General features: G+C 39.8%; 1 long non-coding RNA gene across 1 annotated transcript in view; it reads right to left on the bottom strand.

Moving 5' to 3' along the window:
* Nucleotides 1–22,733, bottom strand: part of DELEC1 (deleted in esophageal cancer 1) — a 260,827-nt gene that overhangs the window by 151,467 nt on the left and 86,627 nt on the right. Inside the window, exon 2 of the long non-coding RNA NR_163556.2 lies at nucleotides 17,842–18,002. This is a non-coding gene — a long non-coding RNA (deleted in esophageal cancer 1). The remainder of the gene's footprint in view (nucleotides 1–17,841; nucleotides 18,003–22,733) is intronic.

Below are 22,733 nucleotides of genomic sequence, written 5' to 3'. Positions count from 1 at the left end.
TTTACCTGATGCCTGAGACCTGGCCCTTCTAATTCTTTACACTGAAAGACCAGAAAATTTTTTAAAAGAGAAAAAGAAAGAAAGATAAAGAAAAAAGAAAGAAAGACAAGCATAGCATTTATAGAAACATGAGAACTTCTGCAGGGGTGCAGACCCATCTTTGAAAATGATTCTTTGGAAGAGGCCTTTAGTGCCAAATACTTGAGTTGCTGCCAGTCTGTTATGACTCCTTCTTTATCATTTCCCCTCACATGAGGCAGATCGAGACAGATCCACATTCCTTCCCCTGTGTTTGGGGCCCACTCTCAGTCATTGTCAGCTGCTGGTTTGCTGAGGTTCTTGGGGTTGAAAAAATCCACCTGGTGGCTCCATCTCTGTTTGCTGCAACATTTATGTAGATGGGGTGTCATCTGGGAGTCATGGCAGCAGAGACACAACAAACAAAAGCAACCCACTGGCTTCCAGGGTGAACAGCAAATTCCTCTTTAGCTCCCTAGAATGTTTATGGAGTAGCTGAGTAGCCACACATCCTTGATCCTCCAAAGCCAGATAGTGGGCAGCTGTTGCAAATTCTTTCTGAAGAGCTTATACATAAAATAATTCTTGCTGAACTTAACCATATCACCATGAAAAAGGACATTAATCTCATTTATGAGGGCTCCACCTTAATGATCTAATCGCCTCCCAGAAGCCCCACTTCCAAATACCATCACACTGGGGATTAGCTTTCAACATATCAACTTTAGGGGGACACAAACATTCAGAGTGTAGCAATCCCTGTGCCCACTTTTTTTCCTCTAGGATGGTCATATCACCAAATGGTCTTCTGCTGCCATTTGGTGATAACTGTCCCTCTATGTTCTCTCTTCCTTCCTTTCCTCCTTTCTCCTTTCTTCTTTCCTTCCTTCCTTCTTCCTTTCTCCTTTCTTCTTTCCTTCCTTCCTTCTTCCTTCCTTCCTATGAATTGAGCAACTAGTAGATGCTAGGTCCTATGATTAGAAATGAGAATGTTACCAAGAACAAGGACATTATCTTTATCCTCATGGAACTCAGAGTTGAATTGAAGAAAACAGCACACACATGACCAATAGAGAAAACACAGGCTATGAAAAAAGGAAGAGTGATTCCCTAATCAAGCCATGGGCTTTCAGGGAAAGCCTCCATGAGGTAGTCAGGTCTGAGATGGGCTTTAAAAAAAAAAAAGTCAAACAAATGGAGAAATGGTGAACAGGTATCTTCCTGGAACACGGTACATGTGCAGCCATGAAGGATCGAGAAAACCCAAGGCATATTTGAGGGCTGCCCAGCCATGCAGGTGTAGAGTATGCTTATGTCTGAGGGGTGGGGCTTAGGCCCAGGCAGAAGTGAGACCATAAAATCAACTAAACATGCATTAAAGATTGAAACCTAAGACCTGGAGCCATAAAATGCCTAAAAGAAAACATGAAGGGGAAAAGCTTCATGACCTTGGACTTGGCAATAATTTTTTGGACGTGACATCAAAAGCGCAAGCAACAAAAGCAAAATCAAACAAGTGAGACTGAACTAAAATCTTCTGCACAGCGAAAGAAACAATCAACAGAGTAAAAAGGCAACATACAGAATGGGAGAAAATATTTGCAAACCAAAGATCTGACAAGGTATTTATATCTAAGATATGTAAGAAACTCAAACAACTCAATAGCAAAATAAATAAATAAATAACGATTTAAAAATGGGCAAAGGACTTGAGTAGACATTTCTCCAAAGATGACATACAAATGGCCAATAGGTATATGAAAACATGCTCACTATCATTAATCATCAGAGAATGCAATCAAAAGTACAATAAAATATCAACTATTAGAATGTCTATTATCAGAAAAAAGATAAATGTTGGCAAGAATATAGAGAAATTGGAACCCTTGTACACTGTTGGGAATGTAAAAATGGTGCAGTTGCTGTGGAAAATAGTGTGAAGTTCCCTCAAAAAATTAAACATGGAATTACTATGTGGCCTAGCCCTCTCACTTCTAGGTATATATCCAAAAGAATTAAAATTAAGATCTGAAAGAAATATATACACTTCCATATCTATTGCAGCATTTATTCAAGCTAATATATGTTATTCAAGCCATTATTCAGTAGCCAAGAAATAGCCTAAATGTCTATATATGTGTATGTGTGTGTGTGTTCACAGACACAATGAAATATTCAGCCTTAAAAATACGTATATTTGCATACACACACACACACACACCGGAATATTATTCAGCCTTAAAAAAAGAAATAAATCCTGCCATATACAATAACATGAATAAACTCTGTAAAGCCAAGTAAAATAATCCAGTCACTGAAGCTAAGTAAAATAATCCAGTCACAAATGGACAAATACTGCATGATTCTAATTCTGTGAGAGATCTAAAATAGTAAAACTCATAGAAACAGACAACCAAATGGTGGCTGTGAGGGGCCAGAGAGGAGAAATGAGTTGTGTTCAGTGAGTATAGGGTTTCAGCTATGTAAGACAAATGTTCTAGATATCTGCTGTAAACATTATGCCTATAATTAACAATACTGTACTGTGCACTTAAAGATTTCGTATAAGGATAGATCTCATGTTAAGTGTTCTCACTACAATTTTCTTAAATCGTGTATTAGTCAGGGTCCTCTAGAGGGACAGACTAATAGGATATATTTATGTATATATATATAGGATATACACATATATCCTATATACATATATCCCATTTTATATAGATGTATCTATATATATACACATATATCCTATAAACTAATAGGATATACACATATATCCTATATACATATATCCCATTTTATATATATATCTATATATAATAGGATATATATATATTCTATTTTATATATATATATATATCCTATATATATGGGAGTTTATTAAGTAGCATTAACTCACACGATTACAAGGTCCCACAATAGGCCGTCTGTCTGCAAGCTGAGGAGCAAGGAAGCCAGTCCAAGCCCCAAAGCTGAAGAACGTGAAGTCCAGTGTTTGAGAACAGGAAGCATACAGCATGGGAGAAAGATGTAGGCTGGGAGGCTAGGCCAGGCCAGTCTTTTCACATTTTTCTGCCTGCTTTATATTCTAGCCATGCTGGCAGCTAATTAGATGGTACCCACCCAGATTAAGGATGGGTCTGCCTTTCCCACCCTACTGACTCAAATGTTAATCTCCTTTGTCAACACCCTCACAGACACCCCCCCAGCAACAATACTTTACATCCTTCAATCCAATCAAGTTGACACTCAGTATTAACCATCACAAATGGTATGAAAATAAACAGAATCTTGGACAGGTGATCTAATCTGCATTTCAGAAAGATTTTATAGTCAGTAGCATGAAGTAAGATGCAATGCAGGAGAGGAGGGCTGAAAAGAGAAAGGTCATGCACGCAGACCTCCATCAAGTCAGCCACAGAAACACCCCAACAGGAGAGTATGTGTGTTTCGTACCATAAGAAATAGCTCCTGGACTAACTAGCACACCACAAGGGGAATGTCAGCTCCCTTCTTGGTTAAATTCTGATCCATTTCTGATATATAAAGAAAATGAATAATGCCTGCTTCATTTAATCCTTCAAACTTGCTCAACTGAATTTAATTCTCATTTACTGGTTACCTAATTTATGCCAAGCACAGTCAAAGATACAGGGATATTATGATAAATCAGCTTATGCTTTGTACCTTTATGACCTGATAATTAATGGCTATTGGTGGTATTAAAATAACACAGTAATCAATAACAGCCCAATCAGTAATTGCCCCCATTTTATAATTTTCTTTTATTTGCAACATCAGATCCCAGGAAAATAAAATAAAATTAGAAGTTTATTGAGTGTTTTGCAAATTAACTTTGCAATGGAAAGACACATGGTTTCTGTGGAGTCTGAAGTAGCAGAGAAGGGGACTAATGCAAACTAGGCTGAGTGTTCAGGGAGAAGGGTGATATGCTCAGTCTCAGCTTGCTAGTATCCTGCTGTCTGCTTTGGATGGAGATCTGAATGGTAGGCAGATGATGATGTTGGCACAGCCCACTGTCTTGCAGAGCTAGTGGAGGTACAACATCTACCGTGGGAACTGGAACCCCCAAGTAAGCCTTAAAAATAGCTCTTCCATGAAAAAAGTGGACATAGAAAATTTTATTTGATTATCATATATCTGCCTGGGTTTGCTTTTCAAGTTCACAGTCTCTGAGATTTTGAGTGTGCTCCATTCTAAATTTCCTTTTTTTGTCTGATGAAGACATTCATTTTCTAACACATTTTCTATATGGCTTCTCCTAAAGCCAGGAGGAGGACTGCTAAAGCATTGGCACATCCTCCTTGTAGTGTATAATATGGTACATATTATAGATTAAAATTATATGTAAAAATATGTAATACAATGATTGTACCATGTTAACTAGTATATATGTCATATATGAAATGATATGATATAGTATGATGTGCTGTAATTATTTCCTCAACTATCTTGGCCATGAGACTATGAGCTATTCGATGGCAGGACAGTGGCTTATTTATCTCTTTATCTTTAGGCGTAGGAGTAACTGCAAATTAGTTAGAGCTCAGCATGCATGTTTGATAGAGGATGAAAATAAACGGTAAAAAACAGAAAGAAAAGGATGAGGGAAAGCAAAGACAAGAGGAAAAAAACAAAGAAGCAATTTCTTTCACAAAGGAAAAACAGCACTAGACTTCTTTTAAAAAATGTCTTCTGTATTTCACTAACTCAGACTTTCTTCCTCTAACAGCTCTGGCACTCTTCCAATCAACTATCAAGAAGAAAAGTGAGAGTGTAGGTTCCTCATCTTGACATCTTCTCAAAGAATATTAAGAGTACCTCATGCATTTACTCACACTTTAGAAGAGTGAGATAAGAAAAAGGAATAATTATATATAAAGATAAGTGTCACTATTCAAGCATGCACAACATAAAGTATTGAGGGGAGGGGAAAGGGGATGGTAAGATTAGTGAATTTTGCCTAGGAAGATCAGGGAAGGAGGAATACTTAAGATGGGTTTTGAAGGTGAAATAAGAGGTATAGCCTAGAAGAAAAGAGTATTTCAGGGAAGATGGTCCTCACCAGGGTGAATCCTAAAGCTTCCTAGCAATTGGATTTTGTATCACTAGTTGAGTCGTAGTGGGAAGAGTTTGAATATTTTCAGCAAAAGTTACACTTGTAAAGATGGCATTATTCCTTCAAAACCTTGGTCTTCAGGACTGATTTTGATGGAAGGTTTGACTCATAAACTAAGTGAGAGCTCATAGTTCAGATTGCTCGTTTCACACTTGGAAAATCTGAGGAGCAAGAGGCAAACAGACTCATTAAAAATTATTCACAGCTAAATAGAGACGGGGTCAGAGTTGAGTCAAGGTTCCTTTAAACCGTTAAGAGAATAATAATTGGGTCAAACTCAATACCCTAATGGGAATCCCCTATTCAACATAGTGTATCTGTATATATGTCCTCTAAAGATAGGGCCTCCTAGGAGGCCGAGAGTTGGAGACCAGCCTGGTCAACATTGTGAAATGTCATCTCTACTAAAATACAAAAATTAGCTGGGTGGGGTGGTGGGCACCTGTAATTTCAGCTACTTGGGAAGCTGAGTCAGGAGAATCACTTGATCCAGGGAGGTGGAGGTTGCAGTGAGCTGAGATCAAGCCATTACACTCCAGCCTGGGTGACAGAGGAAAACTCTGTCTCAAAAAAAAAAAAAAAAAAAAAAACCCTTCTTTTCTGCATGTTTTCATCCTAAAATGAATTTAACAACAAAAGCCAATGCTTATATATATCCACAACTCACAGACTTGTGAGGAGCTGATGAGACACTGTACATACAGTTCCTGTGTGTAGTGGATTAAATGGTGGTGTCCAGAAGCATATATCTATGTCCTAATACTCAAAATCTGTGATTGTTACCTTATTTGGGGAAGGTTCTTTGCAGATGTAATTAAATTGAAGCTGTCAAGATTAAGAGATCATTCTAGATTATCTGACTGGACGCTTAATACAGTGACAAGTGTCTTTATAAAAGACACACAGAGAAAAAAAGGAGGAAGGATGACCATAGAGGTATAGATTGGAATGATCTGGCCAAAGCCAAGGAACACCTGGGAACCACTGGAAGCTGGGAGAGACAAGGAACAGTAATTTCACACTTCTGGCCTCCAGGACCTGAGATAATAAATTTCTCTTGTTTTAAGCCATGAAATTTGTAGTAATTTGTTATGGTGGGCACTGGAAACTAATACAGGAACTAGAAACTAGAAGATAGTGTTAGAAAAATATATATAGGTTCCCATCTCCATCTGCTGGAAAGCTCATTCTGAAAACACAACTGACATCTTCATTCCTTTCCTTTTGTTTTTTTTTTCAGCCAAGTAGAGAGGAGACATTTGCTCCATGAACTCTGTTCTAGACCTTATTAGTTCTGATGCCTCTAGCTAGGAGTAAATGGCAACAATAATACTGAAATCTTAGTGAAAAACCCTCCCAAGAATGGGGAGGTATAGGAAAGCAAGATGGAAAAACCAGCATCAATGTGTCTCCTTTTATTGAATTAATTATATAAGGCAAGAGGAGGGTGTTCTGAGGCCTGGCTGGCTGTCTCCACTCTGCCACTAACTCACAATGTGATCACTGTGGAGTTGTAAACTCCTCCTTTTTGAGCCTCAGTTTTCTCAATTATGTGAATATTGGAAGCCATTTAATTTTGATGGGAAAAATAAAGAGGCAGCAAACTATTATCTACTCCAAAATGCATCTGGCTAATTCTACTCTACCATCTTTCTGAACTTTAAACATAAAGATGAGAAATAATTCACCCAGTTACATGGATATTTGTTCCATTATGCATTCTACCTTACCCCCCTCTTTGGGTATCAGTGTTGTGTCCATTACCCTGGCATCCAAGGCCCTGCACAGTCCTCTACTGTATTTCTTACTATTCCAGCCCCTCATACATTATGCTTCAGTATCAGTGAATGGTTTTCCACTTCATACTGTTTTTTCTAGCCACAGATGGAATCTTCAGAGACAAAACATCAAGTAGCAGCAAAGACCCTGCTATAAGCACATTGATATTGTTTGGCTGTGTCCCCACCCAAATCTCATCTTGAATTGTAGTTTCCATAATCTCCACATGTCATGGAAGGAACCAATAGAAGGTAATTTTATCATGGAGGTGGTTACCCTCCATGACATTCTCATGATAATGAGTTCTCACAAGGTCTGATGGGGTTATAAGGGGCTTTTCTCCCTTTTACTCACTCACTTCTCTTCCTGCCACCATGTGAAGAAGGATGTGTTTGCTTCCCCTTCAGCCATGATTGTAAGTTTCCTGAGGCCTCCCAGCCATGCTGAACTGTGAGTCAATTAAACCTCCTTTCCTTTATAAATTACCCAGTCTTAAGTATGTCTTTATTAGCAGCATGATAAGAGACTAATACACCTATCCTTGCTTTTGCCCAGACTCCCTGTACATCCCAAGCAACCAGGTGCGATCTTAACTTCCAAGAAACAAAAGAGATGCTTGTGAGAAACTTAGACTCTTAATCACAAACTATTCAACTAATGAAATATGTAGGGTGATTTCCCATTTCATAGTTCATATCTCATCCAATTGTATCATAAATGCTAGAGTAACACGAAAAATTACAGGACATCTTTCAGTTTTTGCCAATATGGAAATCCAAGGCCCAGAGAGGAAAGAGATGCCCAGCTACACACCCCAAGTCAGTGGCAGAAGAAGGACTAGTACCCAAAATATCCTGAGTCACGTGCCCTGCAGTCTTTTTCAACAATATGACCTTTCAAATGTCCATTGGTGGGGTAGTTCAGTGTAATGAAATGTGTAGAGAGGGAACAAAGGAAGGTTAAAAAGTTATAAAACCAGTCTAGCTGGCCAGCATTACACCCATCATTTTGGAATAAGAGTGGAGAATAGAGAAGTATGAATTACTGCTTAGCTGTGTTCCACTAGTACAATTATTCTCAAAGGCAGGGGTGGGAAGGCGTGTCCCTTAGGGGATATTGTCAATGTTTAAAAACATTTTGGGTTATCATAGAGAGGGAGAAGTTACTACTGGCATCTTCAGGCCAGGAATGCTGTAAATATCCTAGGATGTGCAGGACAGTCCTCCACAACAAAGAACTTTCCAGCCCAAAAGGTCAATAGTTCAAAGGTTAAGACCACTCTGTGGGTAGGATTCCTCTTTTACAAAGACAACTTCTAATGGGATCAATATTTTGATAACCTGTCTCGGCCAGAAATTTGAAAACACTCAAGGGCTTGGAGTATATTTAATCTAGTCTTTCACTTACACAGAGAGGTTCATTGTAGTCATCTCTACAGAAGTTAAAGAAACCAATGTTAGTAGTGATAATCTATGAGAGTAATTTTTAAAAAAAATCTTCCCAGTACCTTTTTTCCTCTTTATTTCTTCTTCTGGTAATATATTCCTCTTTGCATATTAAATGGAAAGAGTTGTGACCAAGGGCTAAAAAAGTTGGGCCACAATCCTTTCCATTTAATATGTACCCAACAATCAATCCAAGGTTAGAAGGGAGATTAAATTAATCATATATATATATATATTGCTATATATATATATATATTGCTATATATATATATTGCTATATATATATATTGCTGGCTTGGAATCTTAAAGTAATATGAAGCGAGGTTTCTGGTGCTATCTTCCTCATTACGTGCAAAGAGGGCTGTGTAGAGGAGAATGCAGCCATCAGAGATAACAGATAGGTATAAACTGTGTATTCCAGTTACAATGGCCATCAATTTGGGTTCCCAATGTCCTAGTTCTTAAAGTTCTTCCTTCAAGTCTTTGAGCTACCCTAGAATCCAGCTGCAAGAACCAATAAATTATTTTTTTGGCATAAGCTGATTTGAGTTGAATTTTTGTCACTTGTAGTAGAAAGAGTTCCAACTAATAAACTCACATTTATAGAGCATTTGAGAGTCAGCTAAGTGTTTTCACATTTGCAATCTTATTTGCGCCTCACAAAAAGCCTATGCTTTATCTATCCAGCAGGGATAGGAAGCATTGTCTCATTGGCATGTCTGAAAACTAAAACCCGAAGTGGCTGAGGTTAAATGACTGCCTCAATACCACTATCATGATGTTGAAAACTATGGAACCTGTCCATAGGAAAAGAAGTGTACATTCTCACAGAGTAGCACTCTGTAGTAGCACGAGGTAGTAGAATAAAAATAACAGAATAATAGTTAACTCATACAAAGTCCTTACTGTGTCCCATGCTCTACTGAAGTGCTTTGTGTATATTAACTCATAAATCCTCACAGCAAACTTATAACAATAGGTACAATTATTCTCTCCACTTAAAGGTCAAAAAACAAAGACGTTTGAGTAAATGGCCCAAGGTCCTCTAGATAATTTATGACAGAACCAGTATTCAAATTAAAAGCCCTGATGTTTAACCACTACACCATATGGAGTCTCAGAGCAGCTATGTTTTTTGACCCAACTCCTCCCTACATGTGCCTAGGACAGGTGGAACCAGGATCCTAATCCTGACCTAACTGACTTCAAGGTCTTTCTTCTAATATGGTGCCCGGTAATTTCTCCCATTCTTGATAATGGCCTGCAATGCCAGGATTTACACTAAGAGCTCAGACTCTAAGCTTACTGATAATGTGGCTTTTTTTGTTTGTTTGTTTTGTTTCTTGTTGAGACCGAGTCTCACACTGTCGCCCAGGCTGGAGTGCTGTAGCGTGATCTCCGCTCACTGCAACCTCCGCCCTGCTTCAGGTTCAAGTGATTCTCCTGCCACAGCCTCCTGAGTAGTTGGGATTACAGTCGCCTGCCACCACGCCCAGCTAATTTTTTGTATTTTTAGTAGAAATGGGGTTTCACTGTGTTGGCCAGGGTGGTCTTGAGCTCCTGACCTCATGATCCATCCACCTCGGCCTCCCAAAGTGCTGAGATTACAGGCGTGACCCACCGCGCCTGGCAATGTCTTCTTATATACTCATTCAATACATATTTAGTGAATACTTATTATATGTCAAGCACTTTAAAAAGCTATCTGGAAGGAAGAATGGTGATGATGCCCATTGAGGCTTACTGAATTACAAATCTATTCTTATCCTTGAAGAAGATGAGATTCAGACTTTGGGGATTTAGGAACTTTGGAAGAAGAACCATCTGCATTTTATTAGCAAAGGACAAGAAAGTTTCCTTCACCAACCTCAGAAGCCAAGTTAAAAATATGCTAGTTCACAGTTCATAGCAAAAGTTGGATCTGTCATACCCACATCCCTTTTGTTCCAAGAAAACATGTGGTAAGGATGGTCAGGACTTGTTTATTTCATGGCTTACTAGTAGTAAATGTGGGCTGAGGGTTTTCGCTCTGTCCCCTTCATGTCCTGCCACTGAAAAAATAAATAAAAAGGAAACTTTGAGTCCAAGGAAGCTTTGAGTCCAAAATAGATGGCTTTTACAGAGATGAGAAAGCTATTTATCATTATTTTGGAAAAGAAGGACAAAATATTTAACAGTAAAATTCATTTTACAACTTTTGGAAATATGATATGGGATAAATAAATATGAAGATTATTTGGAAAACTTTCACAAATTTCAAAATACTTTCTGAATCACCTTTACTTCTCCAGACTTTTGAATTTGTTGATATGTATTCTCAAAAAGGATATATCCACCCCAGGACCTTCATGCTGTAACCTGTCACCTTGATATGAAGACTAAACAGAAAGAATATTACACATGGACACATATAAAGCTCAAAGGCCAGTCCTAAAGGGTAGAAAAACTTCTGAAGCTTAAGATGACTAACAGAGCATCCTTGGCTCAGAAGGGAGAAGTGGTCAATTTTAGAAAGAGAAGTTTGTTTGTTTCTTCCTTATAAATTAATGTAAAGATGGTGCTAATGAAAAGAGTTTGATAAAAGCAACCCTTTGAGTTCACTGGGCAAATTGATCTTTCCCTGGAAACTAGATATTATTGTGTCCTTCTAAAAGGATGAGTCCATTGAGGCTCAGAGGATAAAATGAGTTACCCAAGGTCTACCAATTACTGCCTGTTGATTTAGGAGTATAGTTTTCTACATTCTCAAGGCACCTCAAACCCATCCTTTCCTAAGCCTAACATATTGTCTTTCTCCCCAAATGGAACCTCCTTTTGTGTTCCTTGTTTTGGTGTTGGTAACCTCGTTCACCAGTCATCATGGCCAGACTCATCGTCATTCAGTATGTCTTACCTCCCTGTTTCACTCAGTCATCAACTCCCACAGACCCTAGTTTCATACTCCATGGTGGCCCCCAGTAGTCCTTGCCTCCCATGCCTACATAGGTTATTGTCAATGCCTCCAATCTGGTCTCTCTCCTATCATCTTTTTCCTTCTTTTATGCAGCCACCAGAACAGAATAAAACAAATTCTACAGTGTCACTCACCTGCTCAGAGACCTTTAACATCTCCACATCACTGGCAGGATAAAGTGTAACCTTCTTGGCTGAGCACACAAGAACTTCTTCCTCCTGGTCCTGCCTTACTCCTCAGCTCCTCTCTCCTCACTCTCTCTGCTTTGCTACCCTCCAGAATCACAAATTGCTTGTAGTGTCCTCAGGTAGTGTGGTGTGTCTTATCTCTGTGCACTTGCTCAGATTGTTCCTCCATGTGGATTGTGGTGCCCTCTGTTCTTCCTCCACATGGATGATGACTCCTCATTCCCTAAGACTTGGCTCGCTCATCTTTTTCTGTTGTTGTGTGCGTGTTTTCAGAAAGCTTTTCCTGAAGCCCTAAATTCCCCCCTTGAGGGACTCATATCTGCCTGTGGTTGTCATTAGGCTTACCATGTTGGTTACCCTGATCTCTTTATGCATCTTTCTCCTCACCCAGAATGTTAGCAAATGCAGCAATGATCCTGCTCTACAACAAATAGACAAATTCTAACAGAATAAACCCACAGGTAAAATCTCTCCTGTGTTTGAAGCAAACAATGACAAGTCATGATTTATGTGAATGAAAAAATGGAAAATAAAATGAAAGGAACACCTCATCTACTAGCACTTACTTTAAGTATGTCTTTCCTAAAGTCCTTTAAAGAAAAAAAAGGTCTCACCAAAGATGAATCTCCTTGGATCTTACATTTTTCTGAATCTTGTTACCTGTCATTCCTCAAGTAAGAGCTATTATATAAAATGTCAAATTCATTTTACAAGGTTCTTTATTTATTTATTCATTTATTTATTTTACCCTTTTTGGTTTCAACTTTCTATTGCCTAAGAAATAAAATGGAAACTACTTAGCCAGGCATTCAGGAATCTGCATAGTCTGACACAAGACTAACTTTCAAGTCTTACAATCCACCATTCTCTCCCTAGGAACAGCGCCATATTGTCCCAGTCTGGTGCTTTTGTTCCGAATTTTCTCTCTCACACATACAAAAATAATAGATAAGTACAGGGGTAAAGTTACATTGGGGAAGTCAGTCCATAATTGAAATTCATCTGATGATAATATCACTCCCATTTTTCTATAGGAACAGAGAAAAAAAAATTATCCTCCAAATAGCATTGCTCAGATATTTCTCATTGTTCTTATTGTGAAATCCATTATACAGCTCAGGACAGATTTATATGGCCTCCTTTCTCCATATGCATAAGAGCACCACACCCACTCTCACTTGAAGAAAGAGAACTAAGATTATTCTGTCCTACTATGTGCCAGATGTAGCACAGAGCTTATGTTAATCCTCCTAGCAATCTTCAGAGGTAGGTCTTAGCCCTCTATTAAAGTAGAGGAAACTAAGGCTCAGAGGAATTAAGTAGATAAAGGTGGTCTAATTAAATTAGATTCAGGATTTAAATATCATTAATTGAATCCAAATGACCTGTTTCCCCCCAATATTGAATCAGTGAAGTTGTAGATTTTTAAAAGCTCTTGAGTAATCTAAAGCTTCGTGGAGCCAAAAAATTTCACTGTCACTGTTATTACAAGATGCTCTTTATATAGTAAGATTCTAGGAAAAGAGCATTATCGTTATTAAAAAAAAAAAAAATCCAGGGACATAGGCCAAGCATCAGAATTAAGGGATGAGCAAAAAGTAGTGAAAAATGAAGAAAAAAAGAAATAGAGTCTGCTGATGGGATAGGTTAAGACATGGCATTCTGTTTCCAAGGAAGAAAAAACACATGGAGCAATGCAATCTGGAGGAATAGGGTGTGGCTGGCTGCACACAGCCAGGGGGTTGGCAGGGAGGCCTGAGGAGCAGCAGACATTATGGCAAATTGCTGTTCCCAAGTATCTGAGCCATGGAGGCATCGGGCCCAAAAGACGTTCTTGGAACCAGGGCCTACAGAAGGAGGCAGAATTAAGTAAAAATTACAATAAATCATGGGCTCTATGTGTCGGGACTAACAGGAATGCTTTGACTTTGGAGGCACTTTTTACACTGGCACCAGGGTTTTTCCACAGAAGTCCTATCCCAAGCTGTAATTTCTTACTCGAGAGTTATTGGGAATCATGTTGGAAACAGGTTACAAAACAAGGAGACTGTATTTCATCACATGGCCTTGGAGGCCAAGTCTACTTTTTTTTTTTTTTTTCCTGGAAGAGCATATGTCTGTTATTTACCCAGTGTCTCTCAGCCTCAAAGTTTCCCACCCCCATCCACGCTCAGTGACACCGAAGCTGAGATTCTGAAAACTACACTTCCCAGACTCCTTGCCAGCCCACTTCCCATTCGAGCCCTGCAACAGGGGACATTGACAGGAGACTAGAAGCTGGCAGGATGAAGAGGACTCTCTTCCTATTTCAGACCCTGTTAGATGCTTCCAGAGGAAAAGAAAGCTATGGTTCCGTTCTTTAGCTTCCTTACGCACTCCCAGCACCTGCCACAGGATTCCTCATTAGAGACCAACACGAGCGGCTCACCAAGTCTGAACTCAAGTTTTCAGTTCCCATCTCCGAATTCTTAGCACTGGCAAGCATTTGCCCTCCCTGAGGCCTGAGTTCCAGTCTTTGAGCACTCTTTAAGATGTCTAAGCCTGGCCACAGGGTGCCCCCACTCAGAGGCTGAAGCACCAGTCACAAGACACAGGAACCTTCCAGAAGTATGAGGCTCAGCCATGCAGGGTTTCTCCTTTGCACTTGTGTAAGTTCTCATAACACCACCTTTCTCTCCTTTTTCTCCCTGTCTGACAGAAGCAGCCACTTCCTGCAGTTACTGATGTCTGGATTACCTCAACATCCCGTTTGCTACATCAACTTTCTAAAATACATGCGGTCTATTCCCTATACTAAATCCCCTCTATTTGAAATTTCTGATTTGCTTTCCATGTTCCTGACTAGAACCTGCTGGAACAGGACATTCATACCTTTAGTGAGGTCTTGTCAAATCTCTTACAAGGATAATTACACAGAAATAAAATTTTAGCTCCTAAAAAGAGAAAACTATCCTATTAGGTTGCTATCTCTGTCAACAAGAAAGAATATACTAACCCCATAGGTACAAAATTTCAGGTTCTTCATTCACTCCTGAATGAATGTGATCCGGGCCCCAGCAAGATAAAGATGTCTTAGGCTCTAGGAACAAAACTTGGAATGAGACATGATCTCTAACCCCCAAAAGGAGACTATAATTAGGAGAGAAGAGGTCAGTTATAATGCCACAGTGGAGGAATCTATTAGAGCAACTAGAGGCCAATGAAGGGACAAAAGAGGAAGCCTGAAAAAGTTGCAGAGAAGGTATTCCCTTATCTGAGTCTAGAAGAATGTATCAGTCTTTTCTTGTTCTTGTTGTTGTTATTGTTGTTCAATTGCAAGGAGCAGAAACCAACTTTGGATAACTTGAAAAAAAGCCATGTGTTGGGAGCTTATGAACAAGCTCGGAGGGTCAGCTCTGAGGGCCACGAGACAATGTCGAAAAAAGAGACTTGAAATAGAAAAGAGGTAACACTAGACGGTGTTGGAGGCAAAAATGGCCTGATATCTGGACCCAGATGGCCTGCTGAAATGAATGAATCCATACATTTTATGCATTCTCCTGGGAAAAAGCCCAGTTGGCCTAGCATGGGTCAATGCCCATTCTACGACTGTACCAAATGAGTTAGATTAAAGATCAGCAGGGTATCCCTGCCAACAATAGGGGAGATAAAATTCCCCAAAGAGAAATTAGGGTCCTCTGGAAAGAAGAAATAGATGATACCTAAACTGGAAAAAAAAAAAAAAGGCTTGGGAGAAATAAAACAGAAAGGCATTTACTGCAAAAGTGAGCGAGAATTTTCTAATTGGAGATGAAGAAGCTGGGCATTCCAGGCAGGGAGAGAGCAGCATGAATGAAGGTTTGGTGGTGAGAAAGACACAATAAAGCTGCAAAGTGGAGGTGAGACTGCAGGTGTAAGCAGGGACCAGAGAATGAAAGGCAGCATCCTCAGCAATTCACCAATTTCTTGGAATTGTTGCAAGCATGGATTTTGGCCTTTTGGTTTTTTTTAGCAAAACATCTTCAACATTGTAACCTTAACAAGAAAATTTTCAGTGGAACAGAGCAGACAGAAACTGATTGGGGTGGGCTAGGGAAAGAAAGGATGGTGAGGAGGTGAGCTGATGGTGAGGAGGTGGGCTAAGGAGAGAAGATGCTGTATTGTTAAGTACTACATTACTGACACAAACTAAGGTTACGTAGGAGTTCAGGAAGCACAAGGTCAGTGGAAGCACTAAAGCAAGGATGTGGCACTGAAGAGAATGGGAACAATACACCTCTTGTAGAAAAGGAGCTGTTGGTGTTCTTCCTAGTTATCAGACACAGAGGCAGCCCAACCTCAACAGAAAAACTTCCCAAAATCTTTTAGAAATGAAACATAAGTCCTCATAAATTCTATAAACTTTAGGCTCCTCTAGGACAATGAGTTTTTTTGTGTTTTCTGTGTCTCAAACATCTAATATTAAATAGACAGTCATACAGGCTTTGGAATAAATTGAGCAATCAAATGATAAACTTACTAAAGATTGCTTATGATGTATTGGTAGTTATTTTAAATTATGAAAACAATACATGATATGAAAACATGCATTTGAACAAATGTATGATATTCTAATGACTATACTGCAACTTGCTTTTCCTACTTAATATACTGTGGGCACTTTTCTCTGTCTTTTCATATAGCTTTAAAATAGCAAAATTAAAAAGTCAGCTGGGCGCAGTGGCTCACACCTGTAATCTCAGCACTTTGGGAGCTCAAGGTGGAAGGATTGCTTGAGCCCAGGAGTTCAAGAGCAGGAAAGGTGAAGGTTGCAGTGAGCCATGGTCATGCCACTGCACTCCAGCCTGGGTGACAGAGCAAGAACCTTCCCAAGGAAAAAAGAAAAAGAGAGAGAGAGTCAGAAACGTCTTAAGATTACAATGCGTACCACTACATATTTGAACCACTCAATGGCTCAGTAAATCAATGTTGAAAGAGATGAAATGACTTTCCCAAGGTTATGCCACGAGTTGGTAACTAGAGTAGGTCCTCCAGTCGGGTGTCTTGACTTGTACCCCGGTTCTCTGACATCTGTCCCCATCAACAATGAAAAAGAAAGGACGACTACGTGTAACTATCCAAGGGCGAGACTCTGTGGAAGGAGAGAAAGCTCCTTCCAGAGTGAGGAAGAGTTCTCACTAAGGCAGCAGTTTTTACACTGAGTATTTAGAGAGGACCGACAGGAAGACAAAGCTGCTGGTTTATCCGGAACAGTTCAGCTTTAACTTGTCTTTAAAATGTAGGACTTTCATTTGCCCACATATTTCTGGCAGCTGTTCTTCCCCCTGAACTCCATTAGTAACTTATGAGGATGCTAAGAGAGGGTGGTAGATGAGTCAGCAGAGGTCAAGCAGGGTGTCAAGCAGCAGAGGGAACAACCTGACCAAGCTGGTTCCTGCCTAGACTGGAGAATATGAAGATCAGACACAAGCCCTGGCAGTTACCTAAATGCCAAGGAGGAAAGAACCTGGCACCAGTACACTCAGAATTGCATCCAATACCCTTTCTTTCAACAAACAAATCATCACCAGCCAGCTATGAATGCCTCTCCATTTATTTCCCTTATCTATGGGCAGAATAGAGTTGCTAGAAAACACTGCTGGGGTCAGACGTTGAGTGACCTACTGGAAGGGGCAAGCCAATTGGGGCCTGACAAGGAGTGACACTGGCTTCAATCAGCCACTTCCCAATAGGTACCTGGAACCAGAGTTGTTCTTACTTGTGAGGCTAGACTTCTAAATGAAGCCCCCTTTCTGAGGGGCCAGCAGAGGAGCTATTAATTTGAGAATGGCTAATAAAATTATTAGGAGAGCCCTGTTGTTCATTCCCTACCATTGGGAGTACAGCCGTGGTTTAGTGGAAAGAGCAGAAATTGTAGAGTTAGGACACTACTCCTATTTTCTAGCTCGACCAGATAATTATCCTCTGAGCCTCAATTCCTACGTTTATAAAATGGAGTCAGCGTTTACTCCTATTAAGGCCTTTTGTGAGAATACAAGAAGAATATTTGTGTAAAACACTAACACTTAGTAGGCATTTGATTAATGGTTCTCCATTCTCCTCCTTGAGAGAATTTAACATAGAGGCCAGTACAGTGACTACCTAGAAAGCACGTCATATTTTTAGCAAGAGAATAAATAATTTATTCTGAGTTTCTAAAATCACTCAACTGCTCACAACTGAGCTAAGCACCAGGAATGTAACAATGTACAGGTTACAGTTTTTGCTCCTGAAAAGAATATCGTCAAGGGGAAAACGAGAAGTTGAGAGGAAATAAGACTTCAGCATCATCAATCTTACCTGGATCTGGAAAGTAAGGCCTTCAATAGCTCAGTAAATCATTGCTGAACCAGGTGAAATGATTTTCCCAAGGTCATGCGGCGAGTTGATAGCAAGAGTAGCTCTGGGATTCCACATCCCCTTCGATAGGGTTTCTCAGAGAAGCCGCAGAGTGTTCAGGGCTGGGAGAGATAAGAGTGATTGTTATCTCATCCAGGCCTATCATTTTACAGGTGCAATTAATCTCCCCAATCCCGTCATCTATTTGGCTGCTAAGGGAACACAGGTGAGGATCATCTAGCTCATCCTCCAGGGTCCGGAAAGGCTTCCAGGAGGAAGTGATGTTTAAATAAGCAGCTAAAAGATACATAGAAGTTATTCATGTGAAAGAAAGGAAAAGCTGAGTAATAGATGTTCAAGCATTTGTTCATTAATTAATTCATTAATTCATTCAACAAACAAGTCCTAAGTACCTAGTATGTTCTAGGAACAACTGTTTGAGACACTGGGGATAGAGTCTTGAATGAGATAGACAAGATTTTTGATCTTATAGTGTCAACTCTTCAGCCAGCTGACCAAAAATAAATTATTAACAAAATATCAACAAGTTATTTGTGCCATGAAGGAAATAAAGCAGACTTCAGGGGAAATAAGCTACTTGAGATTCTGTGGACAAAAAAGTCCTCTCTAAGGAAGTTCCTTTTCAGTTGAAACCAGAGAGGAAAAGAAACCAGCCAGGCAGTGATGGGAACCAATAACCTGCAGACAAAGAGAAGTGCTAGCATGAAATTCTGACTTTCAGAGCAGGTGTAGCAGGTTCTTGGCACAAAAAGAAGGTGACTATGGCTGTTACAGGGAGGCCAAAGAGGACATAAAACTGTGTGAAGAAGGAAGGCAAGGCCAGCTTCCATAAGGCCACATAGGGAGGGTGAGATGTTTGAATTTTATTCTAACTATGATGTGGAGCCATTCAGGGTTTAGCAGGAGAGAGTTGTGGTCAGATTTACATATTTAAAAATCACTCATGTTCTTGTGAAAGCATAAAACAAGCAATATTTGCAAAGGCTCCAGATGAGAGAAGACATAATCTATGTGAAGAAAAAGGGAAGAAAGGAAGGTAGGTAGGAAGGAAGAAACAAAGAAAAAAAGAAAAGAAAGGAGGGATGGAAGAAGAGAAAGGAAAGAAGGTAAGGAAAGGAAGGAAAGGAGAGGAGAGAAGGAGAGAAGGAAGGGGAGGGGAAGGGAGGGGATGGAAGGGGAGGGGAGAGGAGGGGAGAGGAGGGGAGAGGAGGGGAGGGGAGGAGAGGGGAGGGGACATGAGTGGGGAGGAAGGGCAGAAAAGAGGAGGGAAAGGGAGGGAAAAAGGAAGGAAGGGAGGGAGGAAAGGAGGGAGGGAGGAAGGAAGGAAGGAAGGAAGGAAGGAAGGAAGGAAGGAAAGAATCATTCATTTCAGCTGGAGAAGAAATTCTGAGGAAATGGGTGCTAGGGATGGTCCTGAAGATGTTGGCTGCCCTCTGCCTGAAGGGACTTGGGTGCAGTGACAAGGATTTCGACTTCAACCCAACGGCAATGGATGCTATAGAAAATTTTACAGATGGAAGTTAGAGTTCTGCTTTAGAAGCACACCAGTGACAGCAGTGACAGAGATAGCTTCGGAAACTAGAGCTTAACTGAAAATCTTCCTCCCTCAGGGACCACAGCTCTGTTGTGTAGGTAACATGTGTGTACACAGAGGTGCGCATAGGTGAGCATGAGTGAGCAGAGGAGGGGCTCTGAACTCACACAGAGAGAGAAACTGGATGTACACAGCTACAGAAAAAGTCAAAAAACCCTCAGCAGTACCCTGAGGGCAGTGCATAGATCTCTCAAGGCTCTCCTAAGGCCATGGGTGTTCTGGGATTCTACATTCCCCTCATTAGAGTTTCTTGGAGAAGCCACAGAGTATTCAGGGCTGGGAGAGACAAAAGTGATTATTATCTCATCCAGGCCTATCATTTTACAGATGAAATTAGCCTCCCCATTCCCAACAGCCATATGGCTCTGAGGTTAGTCTCCCCAAAGCTCAGCCACGAAGACTGGCTTTTCATTTAAGATATTGCTTAAAATGACTGTCTCTGTCCCCACCACAAATAATCTACTTTTGTCCCTCAGTCTGAAATGCTGTGGCTTATATAATTGATGTCCCACGATAGGGCTTGCTCCTGCAGCAAGCTAGTCACCCAGAGCCTGGGTGGATGAGTCTCTGCCTGCCTCGCCATGGTGCAGTGGAAGAGGGTCTGCCTGTGTGTGTGAGGTCATACCCCTTTTTCAAAAAGAAGTCCAGCTGGGAAAAAGCTCTTGTCCCAGAGATGTAATTTCCTTCAATGGCTCTGCCTCAATTCACTGCTGCTGGTATTTCTTTGAACAAAATCTGTGGAGCATTGGGTTCACACCTTTTTATATCAAATACTGTCTCTTTAGTCATCTGTAAAACATTAAAAGGGTACCTACTAAGTGCTAACCACTCTGCTTGTCACTAAAGTCACAACAATAAAGATATAGCCTCAACTTAGGAATCTTGTGATTTAGTGATTTTATTGAAATTAGAAAAACATAGAACAAACATTAAAATTCTAAAATATGTATTACCTCAACTTTTCCTCAGAGATTCATAACATTTTGTAACTAACTTTATACTATCCAAGAGAATAAGTATAATTTTCATCCTAAAGAACTGGAACTTTGATACACAGAATTCTCAAGCGGTGGAAACTTTACTCTTGGTTAGTAATACATATCTTAAATGCCCAGCGATCGCCTGTTGTTATGACACATATGGCAGTTCTGGCAAAGTGGATTGCAATGGGGAACTAACCTTATGCATAGGAATAATGATTATATCCCTGATCTCATGTTAACCATCACTATAAGCCCAATTTTATTGATAAATGGACTGAAATCTAAAGAATCAGAAACCTAACAAGGTCAATCAAGCAGTAATTTCCATCATTCTGAATATTGTTATTATCATTATTGTCAATATAATAGTTAATTATTGCATATTATTATAGTAGTCATAGCTATGCATTTATTTATTCATTACATAAACATTTACCTAACATCTCTTATGTACAAAACTGTGAATAAGACACAGTTCCTGCCATTAGGGAGCTCCCAGCTCCCTAAATAAAAAATTCATTCATTAATTGATAAACATTGGTTTGTTTCACCTTTTGGCTATTATGGGTAATGCTATGTGATAAACATTTGTGTACAAGTTTATGTGTGGACATATGTTTTCATATAATGGAATACTATTCAGCTATAAAAAAGTCCAAAGTACTGATACATTCTACAATGTGAATGAACCTTTAAAACATCATGGTAAGTGAAAGAAGCCAGATACAAACAGGCACATATTCTATGATTCTATTATACTTATATAAAATAGCCAGAATAGGCAAACTCCATAGAAACAGAAAGTGGCTTATTAGATTATCAAGGGCTGAGAAGAGGTACTATGGGAGTGACTGTTGGAGACCAAAAGAGTGAGGGTCATGATCAACTCAGTATACCACTGGAGGCTATATGAGTAAACAGCAAACTGTTCTCATAAATGCAGAATGCTGGCAAACTGACAAACTGCATCTGTCACCCAGAAGGAATGCTGAGGGCTGTCACGACCCAGTCACAAGTGTTTCTTGTGATTACGCACATCTGAGGCCTGTTAGCAATAATGGGAACCTGTGATCAATCAAGCAACTGACCAATCATTACTTCCTCCTCCCTGCTCTTTCTCCTCAATAAATATGAAGGGTTGTAGAAGCTCAGGGCTGCTGCTGCCTTTGCTCACTAGAAGCAAGGAGCCCTCTTCTTCTTCCCCGGACCCCTTCTTTAAAACAGTTTCTTTTGTTTTAAGTTTTCATTTCTATGTTTGTCCTCCTTCGTTCAGTCTTGTAATGATGATCTCAAGTAGTAACAGCAGTAACTGTCATAGTGATGGCCTCAAGTAGTAACTGTGGCAGACTGCCACAAGTGACTGCTAATGGACACTAAATTTTCTTTTGGGGTAACATAAATATTCTAGACTTAGATAGCAGTGATGATTGAGCAGCTTTGTGAAACAACTAAAAATCACTTAATTGTATGTTTTAGAAAGAAGACTTTGATAATGTGTGAACTGTATCTCAACAAAAACATGTTAATAAAATTTTTAAAACATAAGTGTCATGGTAGAAAGGCTGTAGGGTGCTGTTGTGCTATGAATTCAACTCTCATTTTATTGACAGCCTATTATATGTTTATGTGCTTTATATGGTACTAAATTAATGGTTTATCTTCTCTCCTTTGATCTTAAAAATAGCACTCACTCATTCATTCATTCTTCAGCAATTATTGGGGTTGGGGGGACAATTAATGTGTCAGGCACTGATCTAGGCACTGAGTATATCACTCTTAACAAAAACCAAGGTCTCTGCTCTAATGGAGACTGTATTCTAATAAGGAAAGGGTGACAGACTGAGGGTGTAATGAAGAAAAATGAAATCGAATCAGGGCTCACAAAGTGATGAAGGCTGGGGAGGTGAGGAGTCTTATGTTTTATGAGTTGGTCAAGGAAATAATCTCTGAGGATTAATATAGGAGCAAAGACTTTAATGAAGCAAGGGAATTAGCCATGTGAAGGTCTGTAAATGAATGTTCCAACAGAAAGAACGATAAAGTTCAGGGATGGGGGTGAGTTTGGCATATTTGAGTAACAGCAAGAAAGTCTGCATGTCTAGAGCAGAGAAGGCAAGGAGAGAGTGGCAGAAGGTAAGCTCAGAAAGAGGGACCAGGTCAGATGCTGTTTAGGGGCTTACAAGATGTGACCATGGCTTGGGATTCTATCCCACTTTTGAAGGAATTCTATTAAAGGGCTAAGAGAGCAGTATTAT

The sequence above is a fragment of the Homo sapiens genome, chromosome 9, assembly GCF_000001405.40.
Source record: "Homo sapiens chromosome 9, GRCh38.p14 Primary Assembly".
NCBI classification, from domain to species: Eukaryota; Metazoa; Chordata; class Mammalia; order Primates; family Hominidae; genus Homo; species Homo sapiens.
This window is presented reverse-complemented; position numbering and strand designations above follow the sequence as displayed.